The sequence below is a fragment of the Homo sapiens genome, chromosome 4 (assembly GCF_000001405.40).
Source record: "Homo sapiens chromosome 4, GRCh38.p14 Primary Assembly".
NCBI lineage: Eukaryota > Metazoa > Chordata > Mammalia > Primates > Hominidae > Homo > Homo sapiens.
In genome coordinates, this window is record NC_000004.12 from 91,050,887 (window position 1) to 91,074,964 (window position 24,078).

The 24,078-nt window shown below is 34.3% G+C and overlaps 1 protein-coding gene across 14 annotated transcripts in view, besides 1 other annotated feature; it reads left to right on the forward strand.

Moving 5' to 3' along the window:
• CCSER1 (coiled-coil serine rich protein 1) overlaps positions 1-24,078 on the forward strand; it is a 1,477,902-nt gene that overhangs the window by 923,493 nt on the left and 530,331 nt on the right. The window lies entirely within an intron of this gene.
• Positions 13,728-14,227: an enhancer, noted in NCBI's record as "NANOG-H3K27ac hESC enhancer chr4:91985765-91986264 (GRCh37/hg19 assembly coordinates)". NCBI's record gives its function as "activates a minimal SCP1, AML or CMV promoter by ChIP-STARR-seq in naive H9 embryonic stem cells {active_cell/tissue: H9 hESC(naive)}" and the evidence as "EXISTENCE:reporter gene assay evidence [ECO:0000049][PMID:30033119]".

The following is a 24,078-nucleotide window of genomic DNA, read 5'->3' on the forward strand; positions in this document are numbered from 1 at the left end:
CAAGAAATTTGGAATACCCTCTGTATTATTCTCATTTTATTCCCTTCTTATAATATTTTCAAACAGGAGGAAAAAGCATGGGGATTTTCCTTGACTGTTGATATTCTCTAGCTCTGTGCTTTTTTGGAATTTCATGCCATATATGAGTATTTTGTGTTGGGTATATATAGAGGGCAACATTCATAAATAGGAAAACTTCAAGATTTAGAGGTGTTACTTCATGTATTTCTGTTCTGAGAATGGAGGTTCTTGGACAAATGTATTTGAAGTACAGAGCACAGAGGGTTAATACATATAATATTCAAATAACTATTACCAAATATCAAGGAGACAATGAGCCCAATGCAAATTATATCAAAAAACAAATCAAACGCATTCAAGTGGAAAATGAATATGAAAAAATATCAGATTTACTAGTTGTCAGAATGTAAGTTATATTTACAATTAATTATTTTATAGCCATTAAATTTAACAGAATAATTTTAAAATCAGTAACATCAATTGCTATTGGGGATGCTTGAAAAATTCATATATTGCTGTTAGAAATGTGAGTTTTCACAAAATTTTAAAAACCATTGTAAATATCTACTAAAATTAAGATAAATAACACTCTTTGACTTTCAAACTGTTCCTAAAAATCCAAAACAACCAATGCTTAAAGATTTATGTACAGTTATTTATTTTCAGCATTGTTTAAAGGGGCAAAACACTAAAAATGGATTGATGGTCCATTAATATTGTCATAGCTGGGTAAATTGTGCTAGGATAAAATGCACCCTAGAAAGGAAGGAAGCAGGCACACAGGCAGTTTGTTTTCTGAGGAATGGACATTTTTCAAAGAGATTCCTGTGCATTCACAAAGTAATATTGCTTGATTCATTCTATATCATTACTATAGAGTGAATATTTTAATTTGTGCATAATATCATAAATGTTGCTCATTGTGTACAAATATTCAAAGGCTAGTTTTTACAAATGTAAGACAGGCAAAACAACTTACTAGCAGTAATATCTTATCATTCATCTTCTGCATTAATATTATAGTTGGATAGTCATACTTAAAAATCTACCACAGTAAGGGCAGTAAGCTCAAAGGAAAAGACATGCAATTGTATTTTCTTCATGCTTTATCTAAAATATTTTTTAAAATTTATATGAGAAAATACAAGATAATTATTTGAAATAATTTTTTGATATAATTGTTATGGAACCCTAGTTTTTTGTGGGAAAAAATGCCTTTTTTACATACATTGAATAGAACAGGAATGTACTCCTTAATTTTAATAATTTATTTGCTATCGTTATATAATCAGTGTCTAGAAAGATTAAAATGGCAGAATTGATTAAAACACTTTTTCCATTCTCTACTCAAGTTATTGGTTTATGTCTACAGGCTGAGTGCCTCGGATATCAGGATAGAAATTTTATACTGAAGGAAAATTACTATATGATAAAATTGAAAAACTTATTAGGTTCATGATCATTGTTTGATAACCTATACTTACTCTTTAATAGTAACTTACATAAAGCTTTTTAAAAATATATAATCTATTGTATTTATTACACTTATGTTTGGACATAAAGCTTTATGTCATCCCGTCTATGATCTGGAAGTTGAAACAAGGTGGTTTCAACTGAACACTTTGCATCCTGTTGTGGATCACTTGAAGACCTAAAATCTGTTTCTTAGATACTTTGATAGCAAAAGATGCAGGAGACTTCTAGAGATAATATTTAAAGGAAAGGAACTTTTGTACTGTTTCACATAAACCTGTATCTCTATCTGTCTGTCTGTCTATGGATAGAGATAGAGATCAATAACTAATATCATACTGTGAAAATAGCTATTAACATTTCTTCCTTTCCATATGAACATATACCATATTTTGATGTAATGGATTTACTCTAAACAGTATTTAAAAACATTATTTTGATAGGTAAGTCTTTAAGCTCCTTAAAAGACCTGAGATTACATCTTTATGTAGGGCATGATTTAAGAAACCTATGAAGCTTAATAAGATAAGAATAGCCTGTTTACATAGCTTAAAGTATTTAAAGTGTAGTAAATTGGTGGTTGAGCTATGTAGGTGTTCTCCTCTGGTAAGGTTGTTTAGCATATATAAACCACTAAAATGATGGAAAATACACCAAGCTGAAGTGGGATCAGGATGACTAAACAAAATAGTTTTCAATTTCTGCAATGAGTTTGGACCAAAATTAGTTTGAGAATAAATTTAGGGAAAAATGTCCTTGAAAAAACCATAATCTTTCTTAAAAGTTTTTCCTAATTGTAAATTTCACTAAGACTTATGAAGTCCCATAGATTATAATGAACAAAATTTCTATATACACCTGCTGTCACTATGAGCAACAACAGGACAACTCTTTCCAGCTTGGATTTGTTTGAACTAGACATACCAAAATGAGTTGGAAACACTTCTCGAACCTTGCCCTCCCATTCTGAAATGAGAATTCCATGCAATGACTGTACAAGTTTTGTCAAGCTATGGTGGAACATGGTATCACAAATACAGATATTCCTTAAACCTAAGTATTCCTGGCTGGTCCTAGGCTGACTTAACCTTTTTTATTTTCTCTCCTAAGTCCCACAGATTTGGTTCATTTAGCTTTCTATTCTTGGCTGCCACCAACTACTTTGCAATCCTATGTTCACAGACCTCCAGAGGATAGAGTATTTTAAACTTCCCTTCATGCTTGGGAATTTATCAATTTATTTACATCTTACAAAATTCAAAAAGCACCCAGTTTCCATCCCCAGATGCAATCACTGTCCGGATTCCTGGGAAACATCCCGAACTATTCTATGGATAAGTGAGCCTAAATGTAAATACATCTTCCCTCTTTCTATGCAATTTTAGCATTACTGTGCATCTTTGTTCACTTAATAGTGTATCTTATAAATTTTTATGCATTTACACATCTTGTACTGTCTTGTTCTTTTTCTGTTCATACTGTAATGTCTTGCTCATTTTAGCTGGATGTGTAGTTTCTTGCAGCATGAATGTGCTACCATGTATTAAGCCAGTCCCCTATGGAGGGACATGTGGATCAGTCCTTTGCCATTATAACATAGTGTTGCAATAAACATCTGTATACATTCATCCTCTTGCATGTGTATGAGTGTACCTTGAATAAATTGCTACAAGTGGTATCACTGGGTTATAGGGGGGCTTGTAGGCTTGATTTTGAGATATATGAGAGGTTGCCCTCAGACTTGTAGGATGAGGGTCCTGGTCTTTGGCCACATCATATACTTGCCAGCTATACTCTGCCACTGCCTCTGGAGCTGTCCGCAATCACAGCTTCACATAACGTGGGTGAGGTGAGGGAGCACCCTAGACCCAGGCCAGGCACCAATTTAATCTCAGACATTGAGCAGAGAAATCAAATCGCTCAAATTCACCTTGAAGGCTCAGGTACTCTTTTGTTAAATCAACATCTTTTCAGCTTAGCACTTCTTCTATTATTTACCTAGTTTTCATTTAGATGGAATCTTTTATTTATTTTTTGTTATATCCTCTTGGTTTATTGAGCCTTTTATTAATATAAGCTGTCCTTCTTTGTCTTTTTTAATCTTTTTTTGATTTAAAGTCTGTTTGTTCAGCTATTAATATAGTCACCCTTGCTCTCTTTTGATTACTATTTGCATGGAATATCTTTTCCATTCTTTCACTTTCAACCTATTTCAACCTATTTGTGTTTTGGGATCTAAAGTGAGTCTCTTTTGGATGGCATGTGTAGGTTGGATATTCCATATCCAAAATGCTTGGGACAAGCAGTATCTCAGATTTGAGATTTTTTTTTGGGGCGGTGGGGTTGGTGGGGGTGGATTTGGAAGTGTTTGCATTGTATTTACTAATCCCTAATCTGAAATTTTGAAATCTAAAATTTGAATGCTCCAATTAGCATTCCCTTTGAACAGCATGTTGGTGCTCAAAGAGTTTCAGATTTTGGAGCATGTCAGATTTAGAATTTTCAAATTTGAGATACTTAACCTGTAGCTGGATTCTGTTTTTCAACCCATTTTGCCAATCTCTGTCATTCTATCTTGGAATTTAATCTATTTACATTTAAAGACTTTACTGATAAAAAAGAACTTACTTCTGTCATATTGTGATTTGTTTTCTATATTTCTTATAGCTTTTGTGTCCTTCCTTTCCTAGCTTACTGTCTTCTTTGTGTTTAGCTGATTTTTTATAATGTTTTTATTCCTTTCTCATCCCTTTTGTGTTTATTTCTAAAGCAAAATTATATAGCTATTTGCTTTATGGGTACCATGGGGATTACACTTAGTATTTTAAACTTATAAAACTCTAATTTAAAATTATGCCATTTTAATTGCAATCATAAACAACTCTGCTCCCTTATATCTATATCTTGATCCTTTTTAGTTGTTGATATCACAAAATAACATTTCAATACATGTGTATCCGAAACATGAACTAATTGTTGTTTATTTTTAATGCATTAGTCTCTTAAATTATGTAGGATAATTTTTCCAGATATAGGATTCTTGGCTTACAGGTCTTGTTTTTCTTTCAGTATTTTAGCTATATCATCCCACTGCTGCATGGCCTCCAAAGTTTCTGATGAGAGATCTCCAAATAAGCTTATTGAGTATCTCTCAGATGTGCCAAATTGTGTCTCTGTTTATGCTTGCCAAATTCCCTGTTTGTCTTTTGATAGTTTGATTATAATGTGTCTCAATGTGTGCTTGAGTTCATCTTACTTGGAGTCCATTGAGCTTCTTGAATGTTTATATTCATGTCTTTCATCTTATTTGGGAAATTTCTGGCCTTTATTTCTTTGAATATTCTCTTTTCCCTTCCCCTCTGCCCCTCTCCCCCTCTCCCCTTCTCCCTCTATACCTCTCTCCCTCCCTCCCTCCCTCCCTTTCTTTTTGGAACTCCTCAGTGCATATGTTGGTCTGCATGATAGTATCCACAGGTCCCTTGTGCTCTGATCACTTTTCTTCAATCTTTTTCCTTCTGTTCCTCATACTCAATAATTTCAATGGTCCTGTCTTCACATTCATGCATCCTTTCTTTTAGCTGCTCATGTCTTTGGATACCTCTTATGCGTTTTTCATTTTTGTCATTGTACTTTTCAGCTCCAGATTTTCTCTTTGGTTACTTTTTAAGTTTTTATCTCCTTATTGATATTTCCATTTTGTTCACATGTAGTTTTCCTGAAATTCTTCATGTCTTTAGTTCTTTGAGCATCTTTAAGGTAATAGTTTTAAAGCAGTTTTTTAGTAGCTCTGTCATCAGCTTCCTCTCAGGGACCATTTTTGTTGGTTTGTTTTTTCCTTTGAGAGGCCATATTTTTACCATTTGTTATATGCTATCTTAGTCCATTTTGTGATTCTATGACAGAATACCTGAGACTGGGTAATTTATAAAAAAAAAGAAGATAATTTATCATAGTTCTGGAGGCTAAGAAATCCAAGAACAAATAGCTGGCATCTGGTGAGGGCTGCTCTCTGCTTCCAAGATGGCACCTTGAACGCTGTGTCTTCCAGAATGGAGGAACCCAATTTCTTTCTTTGCCCTGTCCAAAGAGGGAAGGGCAAAAGAAACCAAATTCCCTCTGGCAAGACCTTTTATAACAGCATCAATCTATTCATGCTCTGTCTGTATGACCTAAACACCTCCTAGAAGGCCCTAATTCCCAACACTGTTGTCTTGGGTATTAAGTTTTCCACACATGAATTTGGGTGGAGACATTCAGATCATAGCATAAGCCTGTTGAATTTTTTGTGAAAACTGTGCGTCTAAATCCAATAATGTGGTAACTCTGGAAATCAGATTAGGCTCCTTCCCTGGGGTTTGATATTTTGTTTTGTTTTATTGTTTTAGGCTGTCTTTGTGCTAAGGATCAGGCTGAGGTGTAAAGTAAAACCTTTTTAGATTTCTTCCAAGCCTGTGTCTTTCTTTGGGCATGTGTAGTGACTTTCTAATTTCTTTCACATATGTAGTTGCTTTTGAATTTCTTTGTCTTTAGTGTGTGGTTCTCAAAAGGAGAAAGACAAAAATGAAGGGTGGAAAAAATGGGCCAGCCCTTTAAATCACCAAGAATTCCTTTCAGCCAGAGGAGGAAAGGATTGCAACTATGAGGGAGAGGTACAACAACAATGGCTGTTCACCTCTGTGTCTGCACCTCCATGATAAGAAGCAGCAATCAGCAAGTAGAACAAAGATCCCTGATATTTGGAGGACAAGGTCCTTATTGCCCACCCTGGCTCCTGTAAGCTGTGTGCAAGCTGCTCCAGGAACACATGCATAGCTGCCTGTCTCAGGAATGGAGGGTGGGTAATGGGTAGCTATTGACTAGTTAAGAGCTGAAATTGATGAAAATTCATGGTTCAAGCTTTCCTCTTGAAGTAAAAGGCTTCAGTACACTCCAGAGTTCCAAAATAGCTACATCAGACAGATTCTCTCAGTGTAATTGTTGTCTGGGTGGGCTGAAAGATTCCTGGTGTTCCCCACCCCTTTGTCGTTCCAGAATCCTCCCTTCCCTGCTATTTTTAAATTGACAGTTTTTATTGCTAGAAGCATGAGAGAAACAGTAAGGAGGCTAACATAATTGGACGATAATTTGGAAGTTATAATGTTATAACCAAAGAAATCATAAGTAGCTGTTTCTAGTCTTCATTGAAAAGTAAATGGAGTTTGAAAAGCTCCTCTTTGCTCAAGGCTGCTCTTTCGTTAATGTTTGTGTAGACAATTGTTGAGTTTTGCTCTAAGAACAAGCTTACCCACTCTCTGGATTGTCATTTCATAGAGCTATTCCAAATTTAAACTTAGGTAGATTCAGGTTGAGAGCCAATATCAGTATGAGAGTGGTTATAAAATGATTATCATTTTATGCAATTAGAATGACTACTTTTTCACCATACATGTGTGTGAATTTGTATGTTTCTCCTTTTTTCCAACTCCTCAAACAGTTCTGTGTGCATAATTTAGCAAGTAAATTGAGTGTCATAAAACCTATATAAGGTTACCATCATTACTCATTAAATAAATGGCCAAGGTAACACTTATGACAAATCTGTCTTATGGTAACATCTGCACCCTCTTTTCTGCTTTATGTCAAAACCCAGATTCCTTTTATTTAACTTTTATTTTTAGTTCAGAGGTACAAGTGCAGGCTTGTTACATAGGTAAACTTGTGTCATGGGGGTTTTACAGATTATTTCATCACCCAGGTGTTAAGCCTAGTGCCTGTTAGTTATTTTTCCTGATCCTCTCCCTTCTCCCACCCTTCACCCTCTGAGAAGCTCCAGTGTGTGTTTTTTGCCTCTATGTGTCCATGTGTTCTCATCATTTGGCTCCCTAAAGAGAATGTGGTACATATTCTCTTTACATGGTGTATTACATACACCATGGAATACTATGCAGCTTTAAAAAACAACAAGATAATGTTCTTTACAAGGACATGGGTAGAGCTAAAGGCCATTATCCTTAGCAAACTAAAACCCATGTTCTTAAAATTTACCTTCTCAATAGACCAACATGTTCCCTCTTGTAATGTTTTCTGCTAAATAGCTACCATGGTCTGGCACTGAGGCAAGTATCTCTTATTTCTAAACAAGTTCTTAATTTAAAAAATAGTAATCATAATGGCATTTGTTTTTGGCCAGATTCCCAATCTTGTATTCTCATTATTATTTACTCAAAAATAACTTTGTCATCTTCATCCTCAGGAGTCTTATCCTCCTACTATTACTCATTCTCTGGTCTTCTAACCACAGAAAGCACATTTTTATGTTATCCTTTCTGGAACCCTCCTTGACTCAAGGCCTTAGAATCCCTAAACTTATATTATTTTATGAAAAACTTTAAAGTTTGATTTTTTTATGTAATAGATAAGAAAACTGAAATTTATAAAGTTTAAGTAACTTGCTCAGGTTTATATAGCTCTTATGGAAGATCTGAGAAATGAGCTCAATTCTATATTTAACCAGTATGAATTATTGTCTTTCCCAAACCCACAAGCATCATTTGCACTGAAGACTTTAGAAGGCTGATCAATCATAATTTGCATCCTACTCTATAATTCTTACAGTCTTTTTCTCCCCAAAGCACAAGATACCAAATCTATTTCCCACGCAAAAATAAGAAATGTTGTACTACTGGTAAAAAGTAATATGCAGTTTTTAGGAAAAAAATCATGACATTTGAAAGAATATTATGTCACTTTAGTATTATTTTCAGACTGCTAAACAACCACCCTTGATAACATACTTTTATTTTGTGTCACATTCTAATTTGGTTTATATTCTGTCTATATTATTCATAGCAGATTCCAAAATCTCCTTAGTTCTTGACTTGCTTGTATATAATAAAGTTTTTTTTTTCTGAACCACATCATTAAGCTGAAATGTGTGTATATATATACGTGTATATATATATACATATAGTGTATATATATGTGTATATATACACGTGTGTATGTGTGTGTGTGCGCATGCACACCTGTGTTGGTTATTTTGTGGTTTGTTTTTGTTGTATTAATAAAAGATTTTATTTGTATGCTTTATTAAGGTTATATATATATATATATATAAGTCTCCAAAATACCAGTCCCGATTTTGAATACTAAATTTCTTTCTATCATGGTATTCTTTGTTTTTAAATCAAACCAGTATAACAAAAATCTAAGCAAGATAGACAAGAGTAAACTTAGAAGTCAATAACTAAAAGGCACACTCACACACAAACACACACACACAAACACCCTAGCGATCTGTAATTACAGCAATCTGTAAGCCCATCAGTCATATTTCCATTTTTTGTGACCATGTGACCACTTCCTAGTTTTTAGAAAAACTAATTCCACCTAGCATGAGTCTGTATTTGGCACATTTTTTTCCAAAAACATTTATGCAAGATATGAGCAGTACTATACTGCAACATGTTTGTATGCTTTGGGGCAATGATTTTCAAAAAGTCCTCTATTTCCAGCCTCTAAAAATCTCCTCATTAGTCTGAGTAGTGACAGGTTCACACAAACCTCTCTATCACTGCTGAAATGCCAACAAAAATAGTAACTGCTTTTTTCTCTAGGATCAATTCTCTTGTCATAGGTCAGGCTGCTGAGCAATCATTCAATCAGTCTTTTAGTCATGGTCCTATAACAAACTCCTTTTCTCCCTGTTGGGATCAGTATCTGATTCAGGAGAATTTACTAACATTTGTTTAGCTCTGAAAAATTTCTCCTTTTATTCAGTATCTTTAAAATTCCTCATGAACTATTGAAATGTTAATAAAAATATTCAACTAGCTATTATTATGATGTTAAAACTGATAGCTTTTCATGTAATTTGGTTGAAAAGCACTAGACATTATCAAGTGTAGCTAAGTAAATAAGAAATAAAACATTTATTAGGAAATACTGATAATTTTTAGCTTTAATAAACAGAAGAATTGGCTAGTCATTTCTGAAATCAGTCATTTTTGAAAACATAATTATATTCTTTACCCAGAGCAAAACTGGGGTAATTTAATGAGCAATATAAATAAGATGCCCCTTAAAAGTAGAAGAATGCATTTGCAAAACTATGAGAATAAAAATGCAATCCTGACATTAGAATTATGTGTCCACTGGGAAATTCTCTGAAGCAAGTTCTTTCAAAATGTCATTGAATAAGTTTTTAACCTCTCCAGCTTTTTCCACTACCTAGCTGTTCTACTTCATTTATTCTTGTCTTTTATATTGCACTTCTTCTTCAGGGTTAGTTAGTTGCTCTATTCTCTAAAGTTAGGTTTTCTGTACCCAAATCTGAATGCTAGGCCCTGTGTCCTCATCCAGATACTTAATGTATTTCCTAGTTCAACATTTTAAGTGGGGTTGATAATGGTGTAAATATTTATAAATGCTAACACCTGGTTCATTTTAACAGGAAAATGTTCAACTTTATTGACCATAGTTTTTCACATATTCTCTCAGGGACTTTGTTTTTCACTGGCCAAGCCATTGTGAAAATGTTTTGAAATGTCCAGTTTTCATAAAAGGTTTAGTGATATTGTTGGTTTTTGATACACGTATGTAAAATTGGTAATTTTTAATTTCTGAATTCTTCTACACAAAAAATAATACCTACATATATTTTTACCATTTTAGTTTGCACAGCCATGATTGTTAGTGAAAATGAACTTAAATCTTAATACTATTTTTATGCTCATACTCCTAAATAATGACTTTAAAATGTATTGCACTTTATAGGTTGCTATACAATGACAAACATCTCATTAGTATCGATAATAAGCTTCTAATATCCTTAGGGATCATATAGTAAATGAAAAAAATATATTGTGATGTTAAATGACTTATGTAATACTGTATCCGTTCAGATACTTTCAAATGCAAATTAAAAAAAAAAAGAACTGAAACTTACATAAATAATAAAGCAATGTATTAGTTAACATGAAAGAGGAGGAAAGCTTCAAACTGACTTAATCCGGTGGCTCCAGCTTTGGGTCCACTTCCCTAAGATTTTTCTCAGCCCTCTCCACCAGGTTTTTTTGTCTAGTCATTAGGCTGGGAAGGAAATAACTACAGGAGATACTGGCTTTAGAGTTCTTTGAAGAAATATCCAGCTAGGAGAAAGGTGTTGTTTTTATTTTATTTTATTTTATTTTTTTCTGTCTAACTTAAGATTAAATTCAAATTTCCCTGAAGCTATAACAAGCTTCATTTCACTCGATTGCCCAAATTTAGTCTCATCCTCAGTTCTGATCTAATTCATGTTGATGGAGGTGTGTCACTGATTGATAGGTTCTCCTACTACTTCTGTTTCATAGCAATTATTATAATTTGAATAATAAGCAAATAAAGTTGTGTGCAGTTAATTTATTTTTTTTTCACCTGTGGTAGGGTAGAGGCTTTGCCTATTTTGTTCCTCAATGTAGCACAGCATAGACAAGTCCCTAGAACATGGTATTTGATAATTATTTAGTTATTAAGTAGAGACAAAGAAAATTCATGTAATTAGTTTCATATGGAAGTTGGTATTTAGGTGGGGTGGTAACTCCAATTCTTTCTGAGGACAGAATTTACTATGGGAAATATTTAAGCTATTATCCTTGCCATCCACAATCTTAGTACATTTCTGCATGCTCTCTCTCTCTCTCTAGTTTTCTACTGTCAGTGTAGCATACATAAATACTACATAAATACACCATATTTACTCATTAAAAAAACAAGGCTGCAAACATTGTCTCATCTTTTTCCCAAATTAACTGCAGTTAGCAGAAAGTTTAGTAACTCTGGGTTAGTTTGCCTTCCTATTAATTATTCCAGCTACTTCAGAGTTTATAGCCCTAAAAGGGATCAGTTTGATTCCCTCACCCATGCAGAGGGAACACTCAAACTCCCCCTTGCATCCCTGCTAATGATTCCTTCTATCCTGCAGCGTGTATCATTCATGCTTAGTTATGCGAGTCCAACAGATCCTTGATGTTACCTTGCTGATCTGGCTCATTGTACAGATTCACTCTGTCCCTGAAGGATGGTGATACCCAACTTCAGGGCTCATTTCAGACAATGGCTTCTCAGACTATGTCTGTTAATATTGCAACTTTTGGTCCTAACCTTCTTTAGTCCCTATACATTTTCCTGAAATGAGGTGGTCCCTGGAGTGCTGATTTGGACTAGCTCGTAGGTACACCACATTAAAACACTTTCCCCTTCTCTTGAGCTTACCCACACCTGCAAGTCAAGCAGATTAATATTGTCATTTTAGTCCTCAAAACACAAATAATTTATGTAAAGCTCTTTTCTGCCATTTGTTTATGGAAGAGCAAACTTAAATTATTCTACTGGTCCTGGACTCTTCATTTGGAGATCTCTATCTTCAATAAAATGATTTTTTTGTCATCTCACTAAAGAAGAGAAAAAGAAAACAATCTACAAATATCATTTCTGGTATAGACTCTGAAATATTACATACCCCTTAATATTGTTGTACCTTGTTTTATTGTTGTTGTTTACATATACTAATGTATGTAGACATGGCAAGGGAATTCTGAAAAGCAAAATTCCTGGAATAACCAATGATTTATTTGAGCACAGTTTAGTACTCTATTAGACTATGTTGAGAGATCAAATAATATTCACATTCATATTATGAAAAATACACTATTTTAAAATGAAAAACAGATACCTAACTATGTCATGAAAAGTTACATTCAAGTAAAATAGAAAATCTTGAAGTTTCGTGTTCCCAACCAAAGACGAGAAGAAGAAAATGCTGTAGTATTAGTCAAGAATTTTGCTTAAACAGTGCCCCTCTACTTACTTTGCTTAATCCTTGCTTAGATAGAGACCAGTTGCAACTTTGCAAGGTTTCATTGCCTCATCTATAAATATGGGATAATAATAATATCTAATCTCTAACTTGACACATAGGATTAAATGAGATAAGGCATGTGATGTAATTAGCAGCTTAGTGCCTGGCTCACGACACACACTTAATAGAGATTATTGCAATTACTATTGTCATCATCATTCTTTAACACATAAATTTGGGATGAAAAATAAAGAGATTCTTGCATGGTAATAATCAAATGTTTTAAGTTGAAGTAGATGCTCCCTAAAGAGGCTTACTGGTGTATTAAAAATATGTTTATGATTTATTTTCTTATTCTTAGGCAGTTGCTATTTATCTTGACTCATTTTCTTATTTGATTTTCCTTATATTCCCCAAAGTGAGGGTGAAGGTTGGTATACTTCTAATTTTGCATGGAGATATAGGAATTTAATAGAACTACACTCCCTGATTCTTCCTTTGGGTTTCTTTAGGCTTAAGCCTAAAATCTACAATTAGAATGGAAATAAATCCTAAGTAAATATAATAACGTTCAGCTATATTTCGCACAATTGAATTTACTTGATCTCAGCATCCTTACAAGAGTGGTGGAAAAGTTTTATTATTCCATTTTACATACTCCGAATTGGTTCTCAATGACATTAAATGATTTCCCTAAGGTCTCATGTCTGGGAAATGTCAGGATAGTAAGTTGATCATAAAATCCTGTAATATTTTCTTTCTACTACATTACCTCACATTATCTTTTGAAACATAACTTAATCTTTTTAAAAATAGTTTTCTTATCTTTTCTTTCACTCTCCCTTCTTTTAACTAGGCAAAACCTTGTTTAAACTATGCCATTGCTGTGAACAAGTAGGAATTGCTGATAGAGGAATTAAATGTTAGAAGATACAGGGAAACATTAATTTTTTCTGTGTAACATTGGGTTATTCAGCTTTTGTGATAATGGTTTCCCAATGACTGGAAGAAGATTGCCAAAAGAAGTAGTAAGACAGAATCTAAGTAGTTTTCTCCCATATCATGAGTCCCAAGAATACCCACATGTTTGCAAAAATCCTGGTGGAGAGGGCCTCTGATAACTCAGAGGCATTGTACTGTCAGCCATGGCTTATTACAGTGAAAGGCTACACAACAAGCTCAGCAAGAGAAAAGACACATCCAGCAAAGTCTGGAGGAATTCATGCACAGCATTCAGAAAACCCTTTCTCTCAGGAGGGGCCACACAGAATGTGTTCTTTCTTCCGGCAATTAAATACAGCAACACTTATGCAGTGTTTCTGCCCAGGAGAGTCTGCTGTTGACTGAGTTCAAGATTTTCCCTGGGGACTGGTCATGCAGGCACTCTCTGCCTATGTGATCAGCCACAATCATAGAAATTCCAGACTCCCAGAAGGAAAGCAGCTGTTTACTATAAATCAGGCTGATACAGCTAATTCAGTGCCTCAGGCAAACAAAACAGCTTTATCAGTGTAGGGAACTTCAAAAGCCACATTGCTGGAAACCAGCCAAGTAACAGCCCTGCAAGCAGGCCCTTCTAAAGAGTAGTTTAAGACCTCCTGTGGTAACTGCTCTATTTTCCAGGGACAATACGTAGGGGACAGAGGAACACAGCAGAATTTTGAAACAGGATATACAATCACAATAAGAGAAGGAGCACCAAGTATCTTCTGTTATCAGTAGAATAATCCTGATATTCTAAACCTAGGTTTTCAATTTTTTTTTTCAGGATTTTGCTTATATTGTAAGTACAGTAAAAAATCAAGATGGTGAAATACAACTCAGGAACACACATGTATTAAGGCAGGTTTGACAGTTCCATCAGTATACTACAAAAAAAAAAGTGCTTTGTAAACCTAAAGCCACAGTGGCCTTAGACCATGTTAAATGCTTTAATACATGTCCAAAGGATTAAGGAAGTATAAGGAAAGAGAATGTGAGTTCTTTTTAGGAAGATTTAAGAAAGCTCCAGGAAGAAGTGGCATTTGAGATCCTTCATCCTTAAAGATTTCAATGACAAAGGTGGTACAGTGATATTCTTGTTATTGGGAACAAATACAGGAAGCTATGAATATAGAAAATATTGGGAAATATTGCGTAATTTGGTGTAATATTGTACAAAACAGTGATGTACATTATTGTATAATTAATATAATGGTAAAAGTTATATTCATATCATACTATTACAATTAATTATTTTTGATATTCGATATATACAAGGTTAGAATTGGGAAATTCATACCAAAGGGATTTGTTCACCTATTTTCTATCAAAAAAAATCCCATTGGATATTAAGCAGCAAATTATTTATACAATGTTGGGAAATAATGTGGTAACACTTGTTTACTTTTTAATGTTCCATATGGATTTAATTTTTGTGTTATTGTCTGTAGAATAAAGGACAATAAAAAAATTACCAAGACTTTATCTGGTTGTTCTGGTATGTTTAAACAAATTCCTTGGGGATTAGTATTTCATTTACTAATAAAAACTTTTCAACTTCAGTGGACAGCTATTAGTTGATACACATACAGGTATAGAAATTATAAATAATTTTTCACCGAATCATACTGAAAAATTTATAGTCATTGTTTTAGAAATCATATTTGAATATGACTTCTTTCAATAATATGACAATTAAAATGTTAGGAAAACACTGATTCAATATGTACTAATTTATTCTAAATGCCAAGTGCTAAGTGTACTTATATCTATAAAAATGAAATTATATGAAGTGTACAATTACTTTATCAAACATTCATCCATTTAATTAAAATTTTCTTTGCGTTTTATACCTAACTTGTAATATTTTGTATATTCCCATCAAGTTTTTCTAATTGCTTTCAATTGGAATGAGATGTGCTTGAGATGGTATTAGAAATAATTAAGAAGTCAGACACAGGGAGATTGCTTTTTCCAGGACATTATTTAGGTAAACTATTTTCAAAAATATCAAACAGTCACCAAAATGGGTCACATTCTATAAATAATAGAATTAAGTTTTGAAACAAAGGTTGCATACTTTCCTTGTTAAAATCCAAGCCATTCTCAGAAAAAGCTAATTATCTTAAGGCTGTGAGTCAACTGTTGCCAAATGGTCGCACAGTTAGCGACAGAGGAGAAATGAAGCACAGAGCAGTAAACCTTGGGGATTCACCTGGCCTCCTTCGCAGCCAAGATTTTTCCTATGGTGTTAGACAACAATTAAAAAATTTGAAATGGAAGGTGACTCAGTAAAGGGCAAACTGAAAAGTGTAACTCTCAATCAGATCATCCATATCACAGTAAAAGAATAACCAGAGAATAGTGAAAAAATAAGGAGAAAGTAACATTTTCCAAAGCCGGTGTGAATAGATAATTATTCTTCTGCGTAACTGGAGAAGTAGAACAAATACTGACATCATATATAATAGGGACCTTTACCAACTAGCTGGGAAGTCTTCAGAAATCATATTCTCTATCTCTAGGTTTCAGTTTTTCACCAATAAAATAAAGTGGAGTGGACTAAATGATTTCTGAGGCTGTTTTTCCATGCTAACATTCTATGTCTTTATATAAAAGGATCTATTTGTAGAATAGTTGAGTGTAAGCAGCAGGAGAAAGACCTTATCTGTTTTGACCCAGCACATAGAATAGGCCCTGTCCCGCTGGGCGTGGTGGCTCACACCTGTAATCCCAGTACTTTGGAAGGCTGAGGCGGGCAGATCACGAGGTCAGGAGATCAAAACCATCCTGGCTAACACGGTGAAACCCTGTGTTTACTAAAAATACAAAAAATTAGCCGGGCATGGTGGCAGGTGCCTGTAGTCCCAGCTATTTGGGAGGCTAAAGCAGGAAATGGCGTGAACCCGGGAGGCGGAGCTTGCAGTGAGCAGAGATCGCGCCACTGCACTACAGCCTGGGCGACAGAGCCAGACAACGTCTCAAAAAGAAAAAAAAAAGAATAGGCCCTGTCCCACAGTCAGCACTCAAAACAACACTTGTTAAATGAGTGAATAAGCCAGAAAATAAAGGCTGGTGGATTGGTAAAATGACTTTTACTGGAAAGACTGTGTATGCTGACACATACACTGGTACAATAAGATGTTTGTCTCATCCTTTTTTTTTTTTCTTTTTTTTTTGCTGAGACAGGCTCTCACTTTGTTGCCCAAGCTGAAGTGCAGTGGTGCCATCATAGCTTACTGCAAGCTTGAAACTCCTGGGTTCAAACAGTCCTCCCTCCTCAGCCTCTTGAGTAGCTAGGACTACAGGCCTGCCCTACCACCCCTGGGTAATTTTTTATTTTTTGCAGAGGCTGAGTCTCACTATGTTGTCTAGGTTGGTCTCAAACTCCTGGGCTCAAGTGATGCTTCCACCTCAGTCTCCCACAGTGCTGGGATTACAGGTATGAGCCACTGCACCCACCCCATCCTTCTTCTTTAAGGTAAATTACACCCTTTGTGATGGTGGAGCAGGTAGATAAAAACGAAGTCCCTAAGGAGCCTCAGTGTTTCTCACAGGTTTCTGTGCTCCTGGTTGGAAAAGCTAAAAAGTGGTTTGAAGTTAGTTATGAATATTAGAGAATACCTTTTGTAATGAGTTATCTGCTATAGAGAGTAACTAGTCCTCTAAGCAGTGGTCAGATTGCTGTTTCATGAGAAACAGTGACTAGCTTTTCCATGTTGAATGAATCCAAGTAATATCATTTAAGTTAATATACAGATTTAATTTCAAAATCTATCTTCTTGACTGGTACATCCTGGCTAACTTGTTAGACATAGCCATGGAATTTATTTAATTAGCTTCTCCTTACTATAACAAATAAATGCTAGTTTGAATGAAAATCTAATGAGAGCCAATTATATATTTAAAGCATCACCTGACTTTTGAAAGATGTTATTACCAGATAGGGAGAACTAAAATATACTCAATTAGTTATAACATTCTCTTCTCAATGTTCATGGATTTCCTAGTAGGATCCAATTCTCAGAAATTCATGATGCAAATGCAGTTAAATTGAAGTAGATATCATAGAGAAATAAAAATGGTCATTTTATTTTCAGTTAGTTCTTTGGGTTTGAGAGGATATTAAGTTACAGTATGAGACACTGATCTGTCAAAATTATGAAACATTGATCTGTGAGATAAAAATGTAAGCCACGGTACATTTTCTGACTTACAGTCTGAGACTGCACATTTATTTTTCTGTTATGTTTTGCTGTTCCTAGAAATTAATAATGACAGAAATAAACACATTTAATAAAGTAAGATTTCCAGCAGTGGATTTTAACACAATCTGATTTATTTGTTTAATATTGAGTCTTCAATAGAGTTTCTCAGATAGTATGTAGTTTTACATTATGAGTACTACATTTAAAAGTGGGAACTTAATATGGATATACTGAAAGCAATGCCAGTTTACAAGATAATAATTATTAAAAATGTAAAGTACCTACAGCGCAGGTGAAATAATGCACGCGTAGACTACCACTGGTTACTTGTTTAATATTTTGGGGTACTCTTAAAAGAATTGAGGGAAATTTTAAAAGAAAAGCATTGAGACTCCAGTTTGATATAGGTAAAGGCCACAACTTTTGTATACTGATACACTTATTTAGTTGAAATCGTTTAGGTAACAATGCTCAAATATTAAAATGGAGACATTTTTAAAATTTTGATTTTTGGCCAGGCATGGTGGCTCATGCCTGTAATCCCAGCACTTTGGGAGGCTGAAGCAGGTGGATCACCTGAGGTCAGGAGTTTGAGACCAGCCTGGCAAAATCCTGTCTTTACAAAAAATACAAAAATTAGCTGGGTGCGGTGGCATGCACCTGTAACCCCAGCTACTAGGGAGGCTGAGGCAGAAGAATCGCTTGAAACTAGGAGGCAGAGGTTGCAGTGAGCTGAGATCGCGCCACTGCACAGACAGAGTGAGACATCATCTCAAAAAAAATAAATAAAAAATAAAAATTTTGATTTTCTAAAAGACAAGAAAATCCTAGAATTTTATAGCCAATAGAGATATTCAAGATTACCTAGTTCAGTTTATTAATTTTCCTGAAAAAGAAATGTAGTCTCAGAGTTTTTGGTGATTTGCCCAAGGTTAGCGAGAGAAAAGAAACAATTTATTCATTTCACTTTTTTTTTTCTGAATGAATTTGAATGGTTAATATTATACTCAATATATTAATGGCATGTTTATGTTAAAAAGGGTAAATAAATATCATTTTATAGTAATTATAGAGATTTATTCATTCAGTTCATTTAATTAATATTAGTTTAGTATCTACTAAGTGCCAGACACTGTTCTAAGTACTGGGGATATAAAGTTTTACCAGATGGACATACTGTCATGGACTTTACGTTCTGGTGAGAAGAATAGTCAGTACACAAAATAATAAATACATTAATATGAAAAATATTTTCCAGTGTTAAATCCTGAGCAGAAACTTAAAATTGAGTGATATGACAATAAGCAAGTTGATGTCTATTTTAGAATCAATGCTCATGAAAGTCCTTTGACACAGGAAATTTAAACTGAGATTTGAAGGGCAAAGGGATAACCCTATGACCTTGGGAAGGTTGTGGGGAGAGATCATTAAAAGAAGGGAACAGCTGGTACAGAATCTCTTGAGTAGAAAAGATTCAGAAACCCATTGAATGCCATTTAGAATTTATTGTATATAATCATATATAATTTTACCATTTTAAATGTGTTGTTCTCAATTTATAATATAGAGTCAGACTTTCTTAAGTAAACCTTTTTTAATTTTTTTTTTTTTTCCAAGAAATAGTCTTGCTCTGTCACCCAGGCTGGAGTGCAGTGGTGCCATCTCAGCTCACTAGAAGCTCCGCCTCCCGAGTTCATGCCATTCTCCTGCCTCAGCCTCCCAAGTAGCTGGGATTACAGGTGCCCACCACCACACCTGGCTAAATTTTTTGTATTTTTAGTAGAGATGGGGTTTCACCATGTTGACCAGACTGTTTAGAACTCTTAACCTTGTGATCTGCCTGCCTTGGCCTCCCAAAGTGCTGGGATTACAGGCATGAGTTCCCAGGACCTTCTTTAATTTTAAAACATTATGTTAAAACTAAATCATTACTCTTGGTATTGTGCTACTTCTAATCCATCCTCTTTATTTTAGTTGAACTCAGTTTATATTTCTAAACATTGCAAGTTAGTTTAGTTTTCACCCTGAAATAACCATTATCTTGATAGAATGGGGACACTGTCCTGTCAAGAATTGTGCTCTTTGGCAGGGGTCCCTAACCCCCAGGCCACGGACCATGCTTGTCCATGACCTGTTAAGAACCAGGCTGCCCAGCTGGAGATGACCAGTAGGCAAATGAGCATTACTGCCTGACATCTGCCTCCTGTGAGATCAGTGGCTGCATTAGATTCTTATGGGAGCACAAACCCTATTGTGAACTGTGCATGCAAGGGATCTTGGTTGGGCACTCCTTATGAGAATCTAATGCCTGATGATCTGAGGTTGAAAAATTTCATCCCAAAACCATCCTCACCCCCAGCGGTGGAAAAAATGCCTTCCACAAAACCAGTTCCAGGTGCCAAAAAGGTTGGGAACCGCCGCTCTACAAGAGAGTCTGGTATTAACAATTTTAAAAAATAAAGTCTTTGTCACTGATTATTGTTTAGCATTTAATAGAAAAACATGATGGCACACTCTCTGTGGTGTTGTAGATAGTGTGATAAGAAAATGCTGACTCTCTTAAAATTATAGAAGAAATACTAGATTTTTGTTGGCTTAACTTTAATAAGAATAAATAAATTAATATGATCTCCAAAGTGAACACTACTGATATTACTTATGGATCTAAATTAATATAGTACAAATTTGGTAAAACTATTTAGATACATGGATGCTTAGAAAAGTAAATATTCCATTCATTTTGCAAATATTTAAGTACTTATTTAGAACCTAGCATCATGCACCAAGCACTGTTTGAGCAACTGGTATAATTTAGAAACATAAAAACAAAGATCCCTGTCTTTGAGGTACTTTTATTCTAACATGGAAAGATGATAACACACAATAATAATAAATTTATACAGTGTGTTAAAATGTTTTAAGGGTGCCAGAAGTGAAGTAGGCAGAAGATTGTAATATTAAATAGAGTGGTAAAAGTAGTGCTCATTGAGAAGGTGAGATACAAACAAAGACTTGATAAGCCATGGGAGTTGGCTATGCAGATATCTAGGTGAAGAGAGTTCCAGGCAGGATGAACATCTAGTCCAAAGGCCTATGGTGGAAGAATGCTTGGCATGTTAAGAACTATCAAGAGAGTCATAATGTTGCAATGGATTGATGGGTTTGGTGTATAGAGAGATGGGGACAGACATAATAGACAGATTCATATGCAAATAATCATAATCTAGCTATTAATACTCTCTTTTTACCTATTTGAGTGCATTCTCTCTTTTTATGATCTACGGTACAAATATGAAACGTAGCTTACTAGATAGATTGATTCAATAAGCTTAGTATCTCATCAAATAGTTTTTCAAATAGCAAAATAATTGCCTTATGATGTGACATATCACACATTAAGTGCTAGTCCAGTTCTTACATATTTAAATTCACGGTTAGACTGTTTACCACCATGATTGCATGCTAAATCAACATGCCTTTCACTGACAATATTTAGAGTTACTTGTTTTCTGAAAGGGTGTCTTTGACTTCCTATTTAAGGATTAGATTACCAATCAGAATTGTTAGAAATAATACCCCATAAAGTTTATATTGGTGATTAGTCTCATATCTGAACTGGAAAACACCATCACAAACAACCACTCAGGTATGAGCATCAGACATGCTATAAGTAATCTAGTTTCAGGATAAACTCTACTGTATGAAACCTCATAAAATATGATGACCCAAGTCCCTGGAGCAGAAGGAATTTAACTTATGCAATGTACCAAGATGAGAACTGCTAGAAAACTGGGGGGCATGGAAGTGCTAATCTAGTTTAATATTTTAGTTAGCCTTAAGCAACAATAATCACAGACACACTCTATGAAATGTTATTTGTGCCCATACAGTAACATTAATTTTCTTTTAATTTTTGTCTGCCTCAGGAAATATTTCAATTGAATTTCACATTTTTTCCCAAGGAATCAGGGCTTCTGGAATTCAACGTCATTTACTTAACTTTTTTTCCCCACAGTTATTTTCAAATCTAAATGAATTCAAAACCAATCATTTATTATTTTGCATTTACTTCTTCAGTTGGTAAAAATGACATGGTTTAGATTGATCTCTTGAACATTAATATAGTTCTGGAATTAGGCTTACTCATTTAATAGGTTACTCAATCACTGATTTGCTAAACATGTATCCAAATCATGTCAGTTAGTTATCTCAACACACATAAAAATAAAGTATTAGTTACTTTTGGAGGTAGTATGTGTAATAGTTCCAAAAGTAGCTCTGTAATGAGATACTCTGGGCTCAGTATTCAACTCTGCTTTCTTTGATCTGTATATCCTTAGGAAAGTTAATTAACCTCTCCTTCCCTCAATTTTTCTATGGCAAAATGGGGATTAGTAATGGTAACATATTGTAATTGTGAGGTATAAAAAAAGTATATAAAATGATATAAAAATAATCCATGTAACATGTACTGCATAATGCCTGGCACCTAGTCAGACTCAAAATGTAAATATTTCTGTTACATACATATGTGTATATTTAGAAGTATCCTGTGGTATGGTTACAATATTGCTTAAGGTAATAAGTGAGGATTTTCCATTTTTACAAAGACAGAACCTTAAAAGTGAAGCATGGTTAAGTGCCTGAAAATAATGACATATATTCTTTTTTTAAATGGGACGTGAACAACAATTCAAAGCTTCCAGTGAATGGCTTATTACAGTATAGACATTCAAAGATTAATAGGATTAATTTAGAAAGGAGGGAAGAAAAAATATAGTTTGATAAATTTTGACATTTGGCTGTTCTTTGTATTTCAATAGATTTTAGCCCAAATCATGATAAACTCCATAAAATTTTCAAACATGTGCTTTAGAAATCCCTCTGTGACTTAAATTTCAACATAGCCTAGGGGGTGAATATTTTTTCAATAAATGGCTAAAAAAGAGATAAAAGAATTACAAATCTTTAAACTATGTTTATTAACTTAAAAGGAAGACTGGATTTATGTGTAAGAATGAATTAGTGCAGTTTTTAAGTAGGTTAAGTTGCCTTAGGAAATGTTCTGTGTTTCTAAGTCAATTCTGTAAACCTATGACACTCCTCGATATTATCACTTACAAAACGAATCCTAAGTAAGACTAACATTAGAAGTCCATATATGCAACAAAATATTTTTATCAACAATATAATTGGAAATTGAAACTGAATCAAAAATTTACACAACAAACTGATAGAGTAAAATACAGATATGTAAGTTAAAAAAATCAGAAACTACGGAAGCTTAAATAAGGCTGACAATAGGTGTGTAAGCTGTGTTCAAAGTTTTTTGGAATTTTTTAACTTCTTGAGTAGTTTAATTAGTTTCACTGAGAGGCCATACAAAACAGAAAGACACAGAGTAAGAACCTGTAAAAGGACCAATATACCTGTCTTAAAATTAAAACATAATACAGATACTAGATTTTACCACTCTGCAGAGATCATCCATTACAACTCTCTATATCCTCCTCCCGATAATCATCAATTTTTTACCAGGCAAGCAAAGACCCAGAGACTTAAACAATATCCTTATCATCCAACAATGTGTTTCTGTCACTAATATGATGCTGCCATATAATAAATGTGGCAGTGAAAAGCAAGCAGGCCAGAAGTGTTTTACGACTCTTGTCGTTCTTTGGGCCACATGCTGTAGCTGCAACGTGAAACTAACAATAGCAAGAACTAATAAGGGGTTGCATTTTATTTTGTCTAAAGAGATCAGTTCAAAAACAAAACAGAATAACTGGTAGATCATTTTCATTTCAGCCCAATGGGGGAAGAACTATTTTGCAATATAACATGTGATAAGGCTATGGTCAGAATTAAATTAATCCAGGTAAAACACTTGGAATGGTGCTTGGTACATAGAGAACATGCAACAAATATTAGTTATTTTTATAACTGAAATAGTAATGAGTCTTTTATTTAGATAATGCCAATAAGGGCAGCAACATCTTATGCCACTAACATCAGTGCATGTTGCAGTTAACGATGGAGTAGGCACTGTGCTGCGTTTTATAAAGATTCTTTCATTTATACTATAAATTATTTCAATTTTATAGCTGTGGAACCTGGCCCATGAAATGGTTAAGGAATGCTCTAGAAGTTATACAGTTTTTAAGACTATGATTTATGATAGAACTGCTGAAACAATTTGTTTAAACAAAGATAATTCTGGATTAGGGACCCCGTGGCCAGAGTTCAAGTCCCCAAACTGACACTTATAAATTAAGTTCCCTGGCTGCAAGCCTCCTCATCTATAAAATGAAGAGGTTGAGCTACAGTTATCTAAAGTTCCTTCTAGCTCTTTCCTGTGCCTTCACGGCTAAAGCTAAATGTTAAAAAGTCACACAGTTACTTGAAGCCTTTTAAAAATTATTATTTTATTCAGTTAAATCATGGCTACTTTCTACATGTTAAGAAAAACTGTCACAACGAAATCTCTGAAGTTCTAGAAATAAAATATTTATTCCATCTGTCCAATCTATATTTTTTCAATCAGAAAAAATAAATCAACCAAATCTAGGGATATTA